At 39.3% G+C, this 14,196-nt stretch overlaps 2 protein-coding genes across 14 annotated transcripts in view, besides 5 other annotated features; one reads left to right on the forward strand and one right to left on the reverse strand.

The window, feature by feature from the left end:
- LOC124900868 (uncharacterized) overlaps positions 1-14,196 on the reverse strand; it is a 33,749-nt gene that overhangs the window by 3,895 nt on the left and 15,658 nt on the right. The window contains exon 2 of the mRNA XM_047416559.1: positions 4,339-5,805. Coding sequence (XP_047272515.1) covers positions 5,117-5,805 — 689 coding nt within the window. The 3' untranslated portion in view covers positions 4,339-5,116. The remainder of the gene's footprint in view (positions 1-4,338; positions 5,806-14,196) is intronic.
- Positions 2,086-2,587: an enhancer, noted in NCBI's record as "NANOG hESC enhancer chr4:106064399-106064900 (GRCh37/hg19 assembly coordinates)". NCBI's record gives its function as "activates a minimal SCP1, AML or CMV promoter by ChIP-STARR-seq in naive H9 embryonic stem cells {active_cell/tissue: H9 hESC(naive)}" and the evidence as "EXISTENCE:reporter gene assay evidence [ECO:0000049][PMID:30033119]".
- The window catches only part of TET2 (tet methylcytosine dioxygenase 2), a 133,929-nt gene continuing 124,451 nt past the window's right edge, over positions 4,719-14,196 (forward strand). For 11 of the 13 annotated variants that reach the window (XR_007057933.1, XM_024454102.2, NM_001127208.3 and 8 more), the window contains exon 1: positions 5,720-5,823. The gene's annotated coding sequence lies outside the window, so the exon portion shown is untranslated. Of the gene's footprint in view, positions 4,931-5,719; positions 5,824-14,196 lie in introns of those variants that run through there. The other 2 variants (XM_024454103.2, NM_017628.4) reach the window with 1 other exon arrangement.
- Positions 4,982-5,661: a silencer, noted in NCBI's record as "silent region_15606". NCBI's record gives its function as "represses an Ori minimal core promoter by ATAC-STARR-seq in GM12878 lymphoblastoid cells {active_cell/tissue: GM12878}" and the evidence as "EXISTENCE:reporter gene assay evidence [ECO:0000049][PMID:35858748]".
- Positions 5,732-5,901: an enhancer, noted in NCBI's record as "active region_21777". NCBI's record gives its function as "activates an Ori minimal core promoter by ATAC-STARR-seq in GM12878 lymphoblastoid cells {active_cell/tissue: GM12878}" and the evidence as "EXISTENCE:reporter gene assay evidence [ECO:0000049][PMID:35858748]".
- Positions 6,245-6,294: an enhancer, noted in NCBI's record as "active region_21778". NCBI's record gives its function as "activates an Ori minimal core promoter by ATAC-STARR-seq in GM12878 lymphoblastoid cells {active_cell/tissue: GM12878}" and the evidence as "EXISTENCE:reporter gene assay evidence [ECO:0000049][PMID:35858748]".
- Positions 6,625-6,694: a silencer, noted in NCBI's record as "silent region_15607". NCBI's record gives its function as "represses an Ori minimal core promoter by ATAC-STARR-seq in GM12878 lymphoblastoid cells {active_cell/tissue: GM12878}" and the evidence as "EXISTENCE:reporter gene assay evidence [ECO:0000049][PMID:35858748]".

The following is a 14,196-nucleotide window of genomic DNA, read 5'->3' on the forward strand; positions in this document are numbered from 1 at the left end:
CAGGTCAAAGGTGCAATTCCCACCAATATTGAAAACATACACTAGAACTTACCTTTGCAAACCAATTGTTAGTCGGTTAAGACACACGTTAAAGTGGTGGTGGGGAAGGGGTACAGTATCACATTTGCTTATTACATGAATGTAATTATTCTTCTGAAGAGTTCAAGAATGTCAACTCCCTGGCACAAAATTGGAAACTAAAGAAACAGAGTAGAAAGCAGTGATTTTTTTTATAAAGTAGAGATTTGGACAAAAGAGGTTTTTTTAAAAATATGAGAAAGATATAGGAAATACTGATGTTACTGCTATACAACATACTGTGTGAAAAACTTATGATGGGGCAAACATAGATGTCTGTATCTGCTAAATTGGGAGACAGCACCAGGTAGCCTGCAAGATCATCAGCTTTAGAGTCAGCTAACCCTGATTGAGACAATTCTTCCCGCTATTTTATAGCAACCAAGTTACTTAGCCCTTAATTCTCAACAAGATATTACCTACTTTACTTGGTTATAATAAGCATTAAATTAAAAGAGATAATGAATGTAAAACAATTATTTCAATGCTTGGTGCACAGCCAGTATTTAACCAATAAACTTACTTTTGGAGTGCTAAGTAAATGTAGGTGCTGAGTTTTTAATTTTTTAAGTAGCAAAGGATAATAGAAAATTAACATGAGGTTTTGAAGGGAAGATTCCTTTACCAGTCAGTACTAATAATGGTGAGAAAAAAATTAGAGGAGGATAAGCAGGAAAAAAACAGAAGGTTAGCTTTGGTATAATAAAAAAGGCCTAAACCTTAATTCACAAAATTTAGATTTGTAAGGTGCTCTCTATTTACAGGATGTCTGACCCTAAGTAAATCAATTAATCTCATCTTTAATATTTATATGATGGAAATTACATTAAATAAATCACTTAACCTCACCTTTAATATTTATATGATGGAAATTACATTAAATGCCATTTTTAATATGACATCATTTTGCATATTAAGTCATAATACACATAAAATGCCAAAAAACTATAGAGTCCTATAAAATGGTGCTGAGGTAATTATTAATAGTTAAATTTTATTGATTACTGAAATTCATCAATAAAGTTAAAAATTATTCTTTCAAAATAAAATGAGATACTAAGTGAGTTAGTAAATTTGGATGAGGACAAAAAGAGTAGTTACTGGATTGTGAAGTCAGAATTTATGAAAAGAAAAAGTATTCCCTAAAATTGTAAGAGATTGGTATTAGCAATATTTGCAATAATTGTGGAGGAATTTCCATGATGTTGTCCCACTAATGATTCTAATATTCTTTCATTTTCTTTTTGAGACAGAGTCTTGCACTATCACCCAGGCTGGAGTTCAGTGGTACAATCATGGCTCACGTGGCTCACAGTCTTGAATTCCTGGGCTTAAGTGATCCTCCTCAGTAATATTCTTTCTATAATGCCTTTGCCAATACTTTTCAGTTTATCTTATATTCTACTTTGCCCCCATTAAATTAGTACACACATTGGATAGTTCCTGATTTCATTAATTTAATATTATATAATTTGTATTTTTTCCTTAAAATTTTCAAATTATATAAAGAAAAATTAACCAAATAAAATCAGATTAGGAAAAAAGTAACTAGAAATCATAAGAGATTCTATCGAGATTCTCATCATATTATAATCCCTGGGTTTAGACAATAATTTTTATTAATAATAATTTATATTAATAAGCTAAAATATTATATCTCAATATGTCATCTATTGGAGACTGTTGAAACTTAGTATTCTGTGTTAAATACGTACCTACATATAATGTGCAGTAATGTAACCAAACAAAATAAATAAGAAAGCTTTTTAACCGCAGTGACTGCTATGCTGTTTGATGGTCAATTGTCTTTTAAGCATACAGAGAATCTTTATCATGTTATACTTCAGAAACATGTTTTTGGAGATGGGAAACAACAGGCCATGATTTTATGTTTTTGTTAAACCAGTATAATTCTTTCAAAGCAGTGTATATCACAACTATTTCTCTGTGTTGAAGAGAGTATCAAGTTCTTAAAGAAAAATGTAATCCCAGCACTTTGGGAGGCTGAGGTAGGAGGAGCACGAGGTCAGGAGTTGGAGAGCAGACAGGAGAATTGCTTGAATCCGGGAGGTGGAGGTTGCGGTGAGCAGAGATCGCGCCACTCACTCCGTCCTGGGTGACAGAGTGAGACTCCGTTTCAAAAAAAAAAAAAAAGAAAGAAAGAAAGAACATTTTCTATTCTGCAGGTGGGAGGAAATGAAGAATGCACCTATTATTTTTGTGTTAGTACAACATAAAAAAAATTTGCATTGTAAAGCAAACTACCATCATCAGCTCTTTAATGGACAGCAGCAGACAGGAAACTGCCTCCACCCTGAGACTTAAAGACTGAGCAACTGAGTTAGATAGCAGGTGCGCAGGCCAATCAAGTCAATTTTCTAACACAGAGTAGCATGTTGTGGAACTTGTTCTATTAGTCTTTTTTCTCTGTTAAGGAAGCAAGGATCTCTCTGTATGGAAGCAGTGCTGCTATTTCTAGTTTGAGGAAAAAAATGGTAAAGAATTTGATAATTAATTGTTGTTAAAACAGCAAATTATATTTTAAACACAGATTGTCCACACCTGTAGGAGGAGGAATCTCAAGAATGCACACAATTAATAAAAGCTGGTTCTGAATTACCCATACAAGTGCGCACTGCGTTCAGTAAACAACTGATTTGCAAACTATATCCTTTCTTTCCCAGAAATAGCAGGAGGAAGTTTTTCAAATCAAAAAAAAAATCTAACTAAAATATTTTATACGTGAAGGCCTGCAGAATTTTACTTCCTTTTGCTGTTGAAAAATCACAATAGCCAAGAGGAGTAATGTATTTTATTTTAACTTTTAAAAAGTCATGATGGTTAAGGGTAGAGTGGAGGTGCAGAGAAAGAAGTTGGCAAGAAAATGTTCAGGGCCTGTTGTAAAACCAACTGCAACCCAAACATGATTCCAAATAGGTAAGAACACCCTGTTACAACAGAGAGCAGTTTTCAAAGAAGAAATGAGAGGGAGGTGACCTGAAAGATCATTTCCCAGTTATAACTAAAGGAACCTACGGATACTTTTATATTAAACACATGCTAATATAATATTTTCCACATATTATTAAATGTAAGAAGATATATAATTATATACTTCTATAGTCAGAAACAAAATAACTCCTAGAAGTAAATGGTTTGTTACTGTAGTAGTAGTAACTACCTGGGCACTTACCTAGTGCTCTTATTAAAAACTCACCACAACTCTGCTGTCTTACAGGTTGTTGAACAGATTGAAAGAAACCGATACCGAGAGAGTTAAGTAAAATGCACAAGGTCACACTGGAAAAGATAGAGTTAAGAGTCACTCAGCTCTGTAAAACTCCAAAGCCCATGTTTCAACAACTCTGCAATACTGTGCACTGTATAAATGTATGTTGTGGTCTTGAGAGAACTTTATTTCCTGGACTTGAAAAATACATCACAAGCCGGGCGCGGTGGCTCACGCCTGTAATCCCAGCACTCTGGGAGGTCAGGAGTTCCAGACCAGCCTGGCCAATATGGTGAAACCCCGTCTCTATTAAAAATACAAAAAATAGCTGGGCGTGGTGGCGCACGCCTGTAGTCCCAGCTACTCCGGAGGCTGAGGCAGAAGAATCGCTTGAACCCGGAAGGCCGAGGTTGCAGTGAGCCGAGATCGCGCCACTGCACTCCAGCCTGGGTGACAGAGAGAGGCTGTCTCAAGAAAGAAAGAAAAGGAAAGAAAAGAAAGAAAGAAATAAAGATCACAAAGAACTTTCAAACAGCTTAGATTTTAAAGTGCATTAACAATTTCCAAGACCTAAGTGACGCTTTAGTGTACAGCTAGAAAACATGGAATGTCATTCCCACCTGAAATGTTTAAGGGAAAATGTACTATTTCCTTAGTTTGTGCAAAATCTGAAATCTGAGTCAACTTTGTTTCAAAATGGAATAAACAAAGTTTGATTGGACCCACTAAACATTCTTCTTAGCAACAATGCGACACTTGCAAGGAGTTCCCTTTTTCACACTCTTCAAAGAGGAAATATTCCGATTTCGTAAAATTAGGGCTTCGCTTTTAAAAAAAATTACAGACCAAAAAAAGTGTGGTTACACAATATAACTAGTATTGACTTAAGGGTACTGTGATCACCATGCAGTGATCCCATAAAAGATGTGACCAAAATACCCACTTAAAATTTGAACGTCAGTCATGTAAGAACATGTAAAAGATGAAGGGAATATTTCAAAAACGACTATCTGACGTAATATGATACTTACTATGACTCATATGGGCTTTGTTCTTCATCTCATCTTCAAATAAAAAGTTGATGATTAGAAAAAGGAGCATTAGAAGGGGGAAGTAACACTACTCGGCAATAGAGAAAAACTCCGGTCAAAGGAAGAGCATAGTTACAGAGCTCCGAATGTCAGGGAAAATCAAGCATCCGTCATTCGGAATTAGCTCTGTATCGGTCGGTTTCTTCATTACTTAATTGTACGGGGGGAAACTACTTCAAAGTAAGGGCTCTTACGAGAGGCAACTTAAGCATTTGAAAGTGCAGGTTTATTTCCTCCTAGCGAGAAGTAGGGGGTCACTAGTGAGAAACCTATTTCAATCTGTGAGACGCCCCCTTCTACTCAGCCCACGTGGCTAAAGTAAACAGAAGGTGGGCCGGGGCGGGGAGAAACAGAACTCGGTCAATTTCCCAGTTTGTCGGGTCTTTAAAAATACAGGCCCCTAAAGCACTAAGGGCATGCCCTCGGTGAAACAGGGGAGCGCTTCTGCTGAATGAGATTAAAGCGACAGAAAAGGGAAAGGAGAGCGCGGGCAACGGGATCTAAAGGGAGATAGAGACGCGGGCCTCTGAGGGTAAGGTGGGCGCAAGCGGAGGTGTGGTGCGGGGAGAGGTGCCAGTGGGTGGAGGCGGGGGCCAGAGCGAGGGCACGTGCGGGTACACTCCGGAGGAGGTGGGTGCGCGCGGGGGCGTGTGCGCGGGACCTCGAAGTGGTGGTGGAGTGCAGACCAGCAAAAAGTTTCAAAGGGAAATCTTAGATGTCACGTCTTTGTCCAGGCACCCGTGCCATCCCAACCTCCCACCTCGCCCCCAACCTTCGCGCTTGCTCTGCTTCTTCTCCCAGGGGTGGAGACCCGCCGAGGTCCCCGGGGTTCCCGAGGGCTGCACCCTTCCCCGCGCTCGCCAGCCCTGGCCCCTACTCCGCGCTGGTCCGGGCGCACCACTCCCCCCGCGCCACTGCACGGCGTGAGGGCAGCCCAGGTCTCCACTGCGCGCCCCGCTGTACGGCCCCAGGTGCCGCCGGCCTTTGTGCTGGACGCCCGGTGCGGGGGGCTAATTCCCTGGGAGCCGGGGCTGAGGGCCCCAGGGCGGCGGCGCAGGCCGGGGCGGAGCGGGAGGAGGCCGGGGCGGAGCAGGAGGAGGCCCGGGCGGAGGAGGAGAGCCGGCGGTAGCGGCAGTGGCAGCGGCGAGAGCTTGGGCGGCCGCCGCCGCCTCCTCGCGAGCGCCGCGCGCCCGGGTCCCGCTCGCATGCAAGTCACGTCCGCCCCCTCGGCGCGGCCGCCCCGAGACGCCGGCCCCGCTGAGTGATGAGAACAGACGTCAAACTGCCTTATGAATATTGATGCGGAGGCTAGGCTGCTTTCGTAGAGAAGCAGAAGGAAGCAAGATGGCTGCCCTTTAGGATTTGTTAGAAAGGAGACCCGACTGCAACTGCTGGATTGCTGCAAGGCTGAGGGACGAGAACGAGGTCAGAGCGCTTCTCTTATGCCGCGAAACTCTCCCTTTCTTCTCCCCTTCGCTTTTTCTCGGGCTTCCAGGGACTGGGGAGCAAACCCTGTAGTGTCACCCACAAATACCAAGAGGGAAGAGGGAAGCTTCACAAATTACTGGAGCCTCTTCAACATGGCTGACAAATATAGTTTTAATTCCCTCTACCCCTTTTAAACCTGTAGTTCTGTGTTCTCTTCTCTCCTCCTAATGCTCGTCCCCTCATCTCCCAGAAAACTTACCTTTGTGCCTCCGACGAGCCGGTTTCCCGGCCTTTTTTAATCCTCAGAAAAGTGATTTTTAAATTTGCTTTCCTTTCTAAAATAGTTCAGCTTTGGGGGCACTACTTTTCCCTTTAATCCTCTTCCCCTGTTTCTTTCGTGTAAGTGAAACGAGTCTCCCGTTTATCCTGAACAACCTCAGAGAGAACACTGATAGGGTGTTTTTCGACCCTTTTATCAGCTGTAGGGTCTGGGTCTGGGTTTGTGTCTGCCTCCTCCTACCTTCTTATCCCCCTTTAGGGGGCTGTACGAAGTGAATGTCACAGGGAGTGGAATTGGAGTACACTGAGTGGGTTTTTTTTTTCCTTAAGTCCGCGCGTTTTGTTAGCGGCGCTGAGTGAAAGAGGAAAGAATAGTTTCTCTGGTTCCCCAAACAAGACCAGAACTCACTTTTCTCAAGGTACATAAGTCAGCGCTGGGCTGAGCCTTCCAGCCTGGGGAATGTATGTAAGAGAATTTATGGACAAATCTGTGTCCCGGCTTTGTGCTTCTCCCGAATCAGCTTCGTTTGGTTCCTTGGTAAGTGACAGGCAGACACAAAGGCAGGCGCAGGCCCGGGGAGGGGGCGGGAGGGGGTGGGGAGCGCAGCGTTGGAGTTGCAAGACTGCAAGGTCAGGGGCGCCTAAAGAAATGAAACCCAATCCCAGCAAAGAAGTGAAGAGCAGATTTATAACAGTCCCATCCAAATTTCTCTTTGGCTTCTCTCTTTGGTCTTTCATCTCTCTGCCTTTCTCTCTGTGTCTCCTCTCTACTCTTTCTTCTCTCTCTCTCATACACATACACACACACACACACACACACACCTCACTCGCATCTTGCTGAATCTTTTCACTGGGACTGCTTGTCTAGTTTTATTAAGCTAATAGGGTTTGTATGGAGAGTTTTCTACCTATGACATAATGAAGTGTGGCCTGGATAGACTCCTGGAAAGGCCGAAAATGAAATATAAGTGTTATTTGCTGGTTATTCCCCTCATGATATACTTTTAATTACATTGAGGGAGTTCTCCCTTCTTCATCTAATGTTTAAGAATTGAGAAAAGGCTTATTTTCCAGCGGTAAAATTTAGTGCATAAAATTTAGTGAAATATTTATATATTTACGTGTCTAGGGAGTGGAATACATTCATGAATTTAATATCTCAAATCACACATTGTGCTTTTTCCCCTTCAGTCAGGGATTATAATGGGAAACCCAAATTCAAAGATATTCATCAACAAATGATCCATCATAGGAATAAGATTGTATCTTAAGGGAAGTTGGGATTCACAGAGAAAAGACATTGGTTTGGTTTGGTGTGATACTGTGGGTATTGTTGCCTGGCTAATGAAATCATTACATTTGCATTTTAATGGAAAGTTGAAATACTAAGGGGAGTTATGTTCTTTTACATGTTTGTATGTGTGCTTAATAATGTTTGGAATAGAATATAAATTTAAACACAATAAATATTGATTTTTTTAAATGTTAATAAGCAGAGAACGGTTAATGAAGTGTTGGATAATCAAACTGAAGTTTAGAAGACAATTTATAGGATTAAAAAATGGATAGAAGGAAAAACACAATAATAGATATTTCTCCATAAGTCGAATTTCCAAAACTATTTGTCCTCGATAGTTCACTTTGTAACTTTCTATTTTGATCTTTGTTAATTTAATGTAGTTTGCTTTAATCATTGATACGTGGGGTTCTTTCACATGATTACAAGGGAGAAGCATTACTCATCTCTGTGGAATAGAAACGGTTCATTGGTTAGTTCTTATTTGCCCTAAAATTAAAACAAAAATTAGGATTTTACCATTAATGCTGTTCATGGTAAACTATCGAGAAAACTATGGTTAATTATTCCAGCAATTCAGAATTAAAAACAATTCCTTTTGCTAACAAACTAATATTTACTTTTTGGGGACAACTTTTCAAATGTTGTGGTATATACTGTCTTCAGGCTACTCAACTAATAATAGATACAACATTTTCCACTCAATAAATAAGAATAACTACATTGGTTAATAATTTTGAATACAACTATGAAGGCTTGTTTTTTCCTGTCATCAAATTTAGATTCTTGTTATTTTGTGCATCCTACTTTTATACTGAAAATAGCTGCTAATTAATACTGTATAAAGTATTTCAGTGATTATAAGGAAGAGATGTGTATGTTAGTCACTTTATCCTTTGTTGGAAAAGAGAAATTATTTTAATAAGTATGGGGTAGTTTACAATAAAAGACATAACCTCAGTTCTTTCTTTACCATATATGTGATCATACTACCTAGGTGCTCCAAAAATTCCATAGGACTGTCTTGGGTTATTGAATTTTAGGAACATGATAATGGACAATAACAAGATAGATAGCTTTTCTTAACTATGACATTGTTTTGCTTATTTTCTTATTGAACTAATCATCAATGAGAAATTAAGTTGCAGTGAGAGAAATCCCTTGCTTTGTTTAAATTGTCATATTTGCCAAACTCTTCTTAAGGCTTTAATTAGGTCTGATGTGCCAGTTTATGCCAGAAGCCGGAGGAATTGATATGATTTTGAGGCAGTGGCACATGGTCCTACTAGACATTGGCAAGTGAATATCACTTCCAGAACAAGTGAAGTGCACCTGCCAAGGAGTTGTTATGAAAGAATTCCAAAGTCCTTATTGGGCACTGGTCTTGTATTAGGTAACAACAACTGGAGTTAATGTTTTAGTTTCACTTGTTGAAGTTAAAAGTTCCCTATCAATTCTTCTAAGACTCCACCCCCAAACAATGTTGTAAGTCAAATGTCACTATTGAAATGTATTTCCTTAATTACTGACCTCATTAAGAAGCCCTTCTTATGATTCATAGGCACACCTCACAGAAACTCTATTTTCCATCCTGCCCAAAGTCTGAGTAGGTAAATTCTTATGAATTCTTATGAAATTACCTTGAAATAAAATATCTTCAAAAGTTACGGATGCTAGACATTGTATAATGTCAATATTTTAGAATATCTAATATTTAGAAAATCTTAGATCTACTTTTTATGCTTTAATTGCTTCTAATGCAAGTTAAATTGTTTTTGTTGTTATTGTTTTAATAGAATTTCATAGTCTTATCTAGCAATTTCAAATCGCTGGAAAGAGTCATCTTTGTTATATAAATAACCATGTAGACTGTTTTAATGTTATTGTTTCCTACCTTGGGAACAGGCTAAAACTTTGGACCAGCTGTCAGTATTTGTTCATCAGAATAACACTTTGTCAATGATTATTCTACCATTGCACAGTAGTTCTTAAGGATAGTAATGGTACCAAAGCCAGCAGCAATAGAATATCTCCCAAGCCAACTTTACAATTGGAGCCTTCACTGTGGGAAAGACCAGTTGCCAAGTAGAGCTGGTGGTTATCTGGGAAACTGTGCTGAAGAACACAACCACAAATGATTTTGCCAAATATACAGTATTTACTTGGTCTAGATCTCCAATTTCTATTTCTACTCACTGCCAAAACTGAGTGAATACTGTGACATTATTGAAGGAGGTTATGCAGTACATCTGTTGGTTTGGTATATAGTAGGAGAGAAGGGTTCCAGGAGGGAAAGGGGAAAGTCAGAGCATGTGAATCACTGTGACTACAATCCAAAAAGAATTATGTATGTCTGCTATTTCCAGCATTATTTTTGTCCTATATTGTACATTGCAGAGACTTGCTGACTTAAAATAGATATATAATCTTTTTCTCAAAAGAATAGATATTTGGTTGTCCATTCCAAATAACAAATTTTGGATGGGCGTGGTGACTCATGCCTGTAATCCTAGCACTTTGGGAGGCCAAGGTGAGAGATCACTTGAGGCCAGGAGTTTGAAACCACCCTGGGCAACACAGTCAGGCCCCAGTCTCTACAAAAAATTTAAAAAGTTAGTGGGGCATGGTGGTACATTCCTGTAGTCCCAGCTACTCAGGAGACTGAGATAGGAGGATGGATTGAGCTCAAGTGTTCTAACTTATAGTGAGCTCTGATCACACCACTGCGCTCCAGCCCAGGCAAGAGGGAGAGACCCTATCTCAAACAGCGACAACAACAAAACCAAACAAACAAAAAAGCACATTCTATCAGCTTTGATTTATGTTTTCTTCATTTGTAATGACATGTAGTTAAATGTGTCATACTTCAAAAAGAAGAAACAGATAGTAGGTGGATTTTCAATATAATATATATTAGATATAGATAATATATATTTTCAATATATAATATATGTAAAAATAAATTCAGTGATAATATCATCCTACCTGCAGTTTTAAGAATTCAGAACTCAGGCCAGGTGTGGTGGCTCATTCTGGGAGGGGAAGGCAGGAGGATCACTTGAGGCCAGAAGTTCTAGACCAGCCTGGGCAACATAGTGAGATACCTGTCTCTATTCAATAAAAATAAAAATAAAAATAATTCAGAACTCAATGCTTTATACTCACTGAAAGTTGTTCCTCTAAACTGACTTGAAATCATGTTCCAAATAAACTGAGAATTAAAGTAAGAGACGAGGCCGGTTGTGGTGGCTCATGCCTGTAATCCCAGCACTTTGGGACGACAAGGCAGGTGGATGACCTGAGGTCAGGAGTTTGAGACCAGCCTGGCCAACATGGTGAAACCCTGTCTCTACTAAAAATACAAAAATTAGCCGGGCATGGTGGCACACACCAGTAATCCCAGCTACTCAGGAGGCTGAGGCCCGAGAATCACTTGAGCCTGGGCATGGTGGCTCATACCTATAATCCCAGCACTTTGGGAGGCCGAGGCAGGTGGATCACCTGACGTCAGGAATTCGAGACCAGTCTGGCCAACATGGTGAAACCCCATCTCCACTAAACATACAAAATTAGCTGGGTGTGGTGGCACATGCCTGTAGTCTCAGCTATTCTGGAGGCTGATACAGGAGAATTGCTTGAACCCTCCCGGGAGGCAGAGGCTGCGGTGAGCCGAGATGGCTCTGCTGCACTCCAGCCTGGGCGAGGCAGAGAGACTCTGCCTCAAAAAAAGAAAAATAATAATAATAAATAGGAGATGAATAAATTGGGATAAAGTGTTTTTGAAGGACAGTCTAGGATATAAAATGAACTGGTTGTTTGACTAAAAATACTACAAATGTTTCTTTCAAATTACATTTCTTTTTTGTCTATTGGAAGGTAGGCACTGATTTCTATGTCTTTCTATTCCCTAATAGAACCTACTGTTGACCTCTCAGTCAATATTTAATGGATGATATAGAACTAGTGAAAAACCATGCAATTTAACTAGAAAAAAAAAGTATAATCTATTTTCTTTTCCTTTTTCTTTCTTTCTTTCTTTCTTTTTTTTTTTTTTTTTGAGACGGTATCTTGCTCTGTCACCTAGGCTGGAGTGCAGTGGTGTGATCTCGGCTCACTGCAACCTCTGCCTTCCAGGTTCAAGTGATTCTCTTTCTCAGCCCCCAGAGTAGCTGGGACTAGGAGCGTGCCCCACCACACCTGGCTAATTTTTCTATTTTTATTAGAGACAGGGTTTCACCATGTTGGCCAGGCTGATCTCGTACTCCTGGTCTCAGGTGATCTGCCTGCCCGGGTCTCCCAAAGTGCTGGGATTACAGGCATGAGCCACTGCACCTGGTCTAATCTATTTTCAATGTATAAGAGAAAAATAGTGTTAAGTGTCTTGGTGATGGTGATGATGGTAGGAGTAATGGTGTGTTTTCCTTACATTTAATTTCTACAGGCTATGGCAATTGCCCTATAAAAGCCACCCATTTTAAGCACAAAAGTGAATGGTTTTTAGTAAACTTATATGGGATCATATATTTTTAATTGAAATATTTTTTGAGTTAATTATAGATTCATATGCCATTGTATGAAATAATACAGAGAGATTCCACGTATACTTGCTCAATTTCCCCCAGTGGCAACACTTTGCAAAACTATAATATCATATCACATCACATGCAAAACTATAATATCATATCACAACCATGATACTGACATTGATGTGGCCTACTAATCTTATTCAGATGTCCTCAGTTTAACTTGTACTCATTTGTGTGTGTTTTGTTTTATACCATTTAGTCACATGATCACATATTTTTAAACCTTTTTTTCTCAAAACAGAGAAGTTTAGCACAAAAGTTTAGCAATTTATCAATCTTGTGATTGTGCTGTTATGCCATATTAAAATGTGTGTCAGAATGTAAGTTTTTGTTTTCTTAAAAGTCCTTTTTTTGATAGAATGGCCTTTATGTTAAAAATATTTTAAGTTGTTTTGTGACAGTGTAAGTCGATGTCATTTAATTCTCATCACAACCCTAGAGATAGGTATTATTCTTATCCCTATTTATGAGTGAGGAAACTGAAGCCCAGTGAGGTTAAATAACTTCCTTAAGTTCATACAGCCTATACATGGCTTAGGCTTAGCCAGCATTTGAGTTAAGCAGTCTGTCTCTAGTGCCAAATCTTTTAATCACTATATTATACTTCATCATTATCATTGATAGCTGTAAAAGTGTATAATGTGGACTATGTAGAGAAAGTCATAAAAGGAGATTTAAAATGCATACAGTTGTTCACATGAAAACTTGTAGCCAAATGTTCATTACAGCATTATTAATAATGGTAAAAAATGGAAACAACCCAGATGTCTATCATGTCATGAGTGAATAAACAAATTGTGGTATATCCATACAGTGAAATATTATTAAGTAGTATAAAGGAATGGATTATTGATAAATGCTGTCACATAGGTGAATCTGAGAGGCACAAGAAAGGCCACATATGATATGCTTTCAATTTTAAGTAACGTCCAGAATAGGCAAATCTAAGGAGACAGAAAGTTGGCTAGTTATTACTAGGGGCTAGGGATGGGAGGGAGGTGACTCCTAATAAGTATGAGATTTCTTTTGGTGATGATGAAAATGTTCTATAATTAGATAGTAATGATTGCCCAACTCTTTGAATATGCTGAAACCCACTGAATTATATGCTTTAAAAGGATGAATTTATTGTATGTGAATTATATTTCAAAAAGCTGTTGTTATAAAAATGAATGTAGTTGAGTTATTTGGTTTATTTTATGTCAGAAAATGTCTTACATCTCATGCAAAAGAAATGCAGGAACTATTTGGATTGAATGAGGCTAAGCATATCTTTCTAGGAAGATGGCATCAAGGAGTTTTATTATGCCTGTAATCCTGGCACTTTGGGAGGCCAAGGCGGGAGACCAGAAGTTTGAGATTAGTCTGGGCAACATCCTCTTATAGATGAGAAGGATACTTAATCACTCAAAAGTTGGCATTGTGTTTTGTGATAACAATAGCCTTTAGAGCTCATATGGGAAGATTCAATAGATAGTGATAGGTTATATGACTTGGTAAAGAGGGCTTAATGTATAGGTGCAAGAAACTTTCTCAGATGTCTTTAGTTACCTAGCCATTCAGTTCAGGAGATGTAACCCAAGTGTTAAAAGGAATGTGACTGGGTGCGGTGGCTCACACCTGTAATCCCAGCACTTTGCGAGGCGGAAGTGGGTGGGTCTCTTGAGCTCAGGAGTTGGAGACAAGCCTGGGCAACATGGCAAAACCCCATCCCTACAAAAAATGCACAAATTAGCTGGGTGTGGTGGCACATCCCTGTAGTTCCAGGTACTTGTGGGGCTGAGGCGGGAGGATGGCTCGAGCCTGGGAAGTTGAGGCTGCAGTGAGCCATGTTGGTGCCCCCACACTTCAGCCTGGGTGACAAAATGAGACCCTCTCTCTCAAAAAAAAACTATAAAAATTGCTGTTCTTGTTTAAATTACTACAAAGTGCAGTTTAATCTAGAAATAATAACAAATTACTAGATTTGGGGGGTTATTAATGTCTTATCTATGTGAAAACAGAAGGGCAATGCAGGGCAGAGAATAAACTTCAAAACTTTGAGTTTGTTAACTGTTTATATCTCCACTTGTCATGTTTCAGATTTTAAAGTTAAAATGACAAAGTATCTCATAGGGTTTAAACAAGTGACTCTTTTCCTGTTAACTGATACTGTGGCATGTTGAAGATGTAAAATAAGGTTGAAAAGGAAATTGCTTTGCAGCAGTC

This window comes from Homo sapiens, chromosome 4 (genome assembly GCF_000001405.40).
Source record: "Homo sapiens chromosome 4, GRCh38.p14 Primary Assembly".
Classification (NCBI taxonomy): Eukaryota; Metazoa; Chordata; class Mammalia; order Primates; family Hominidae; genus Homo; species Homo sapiens.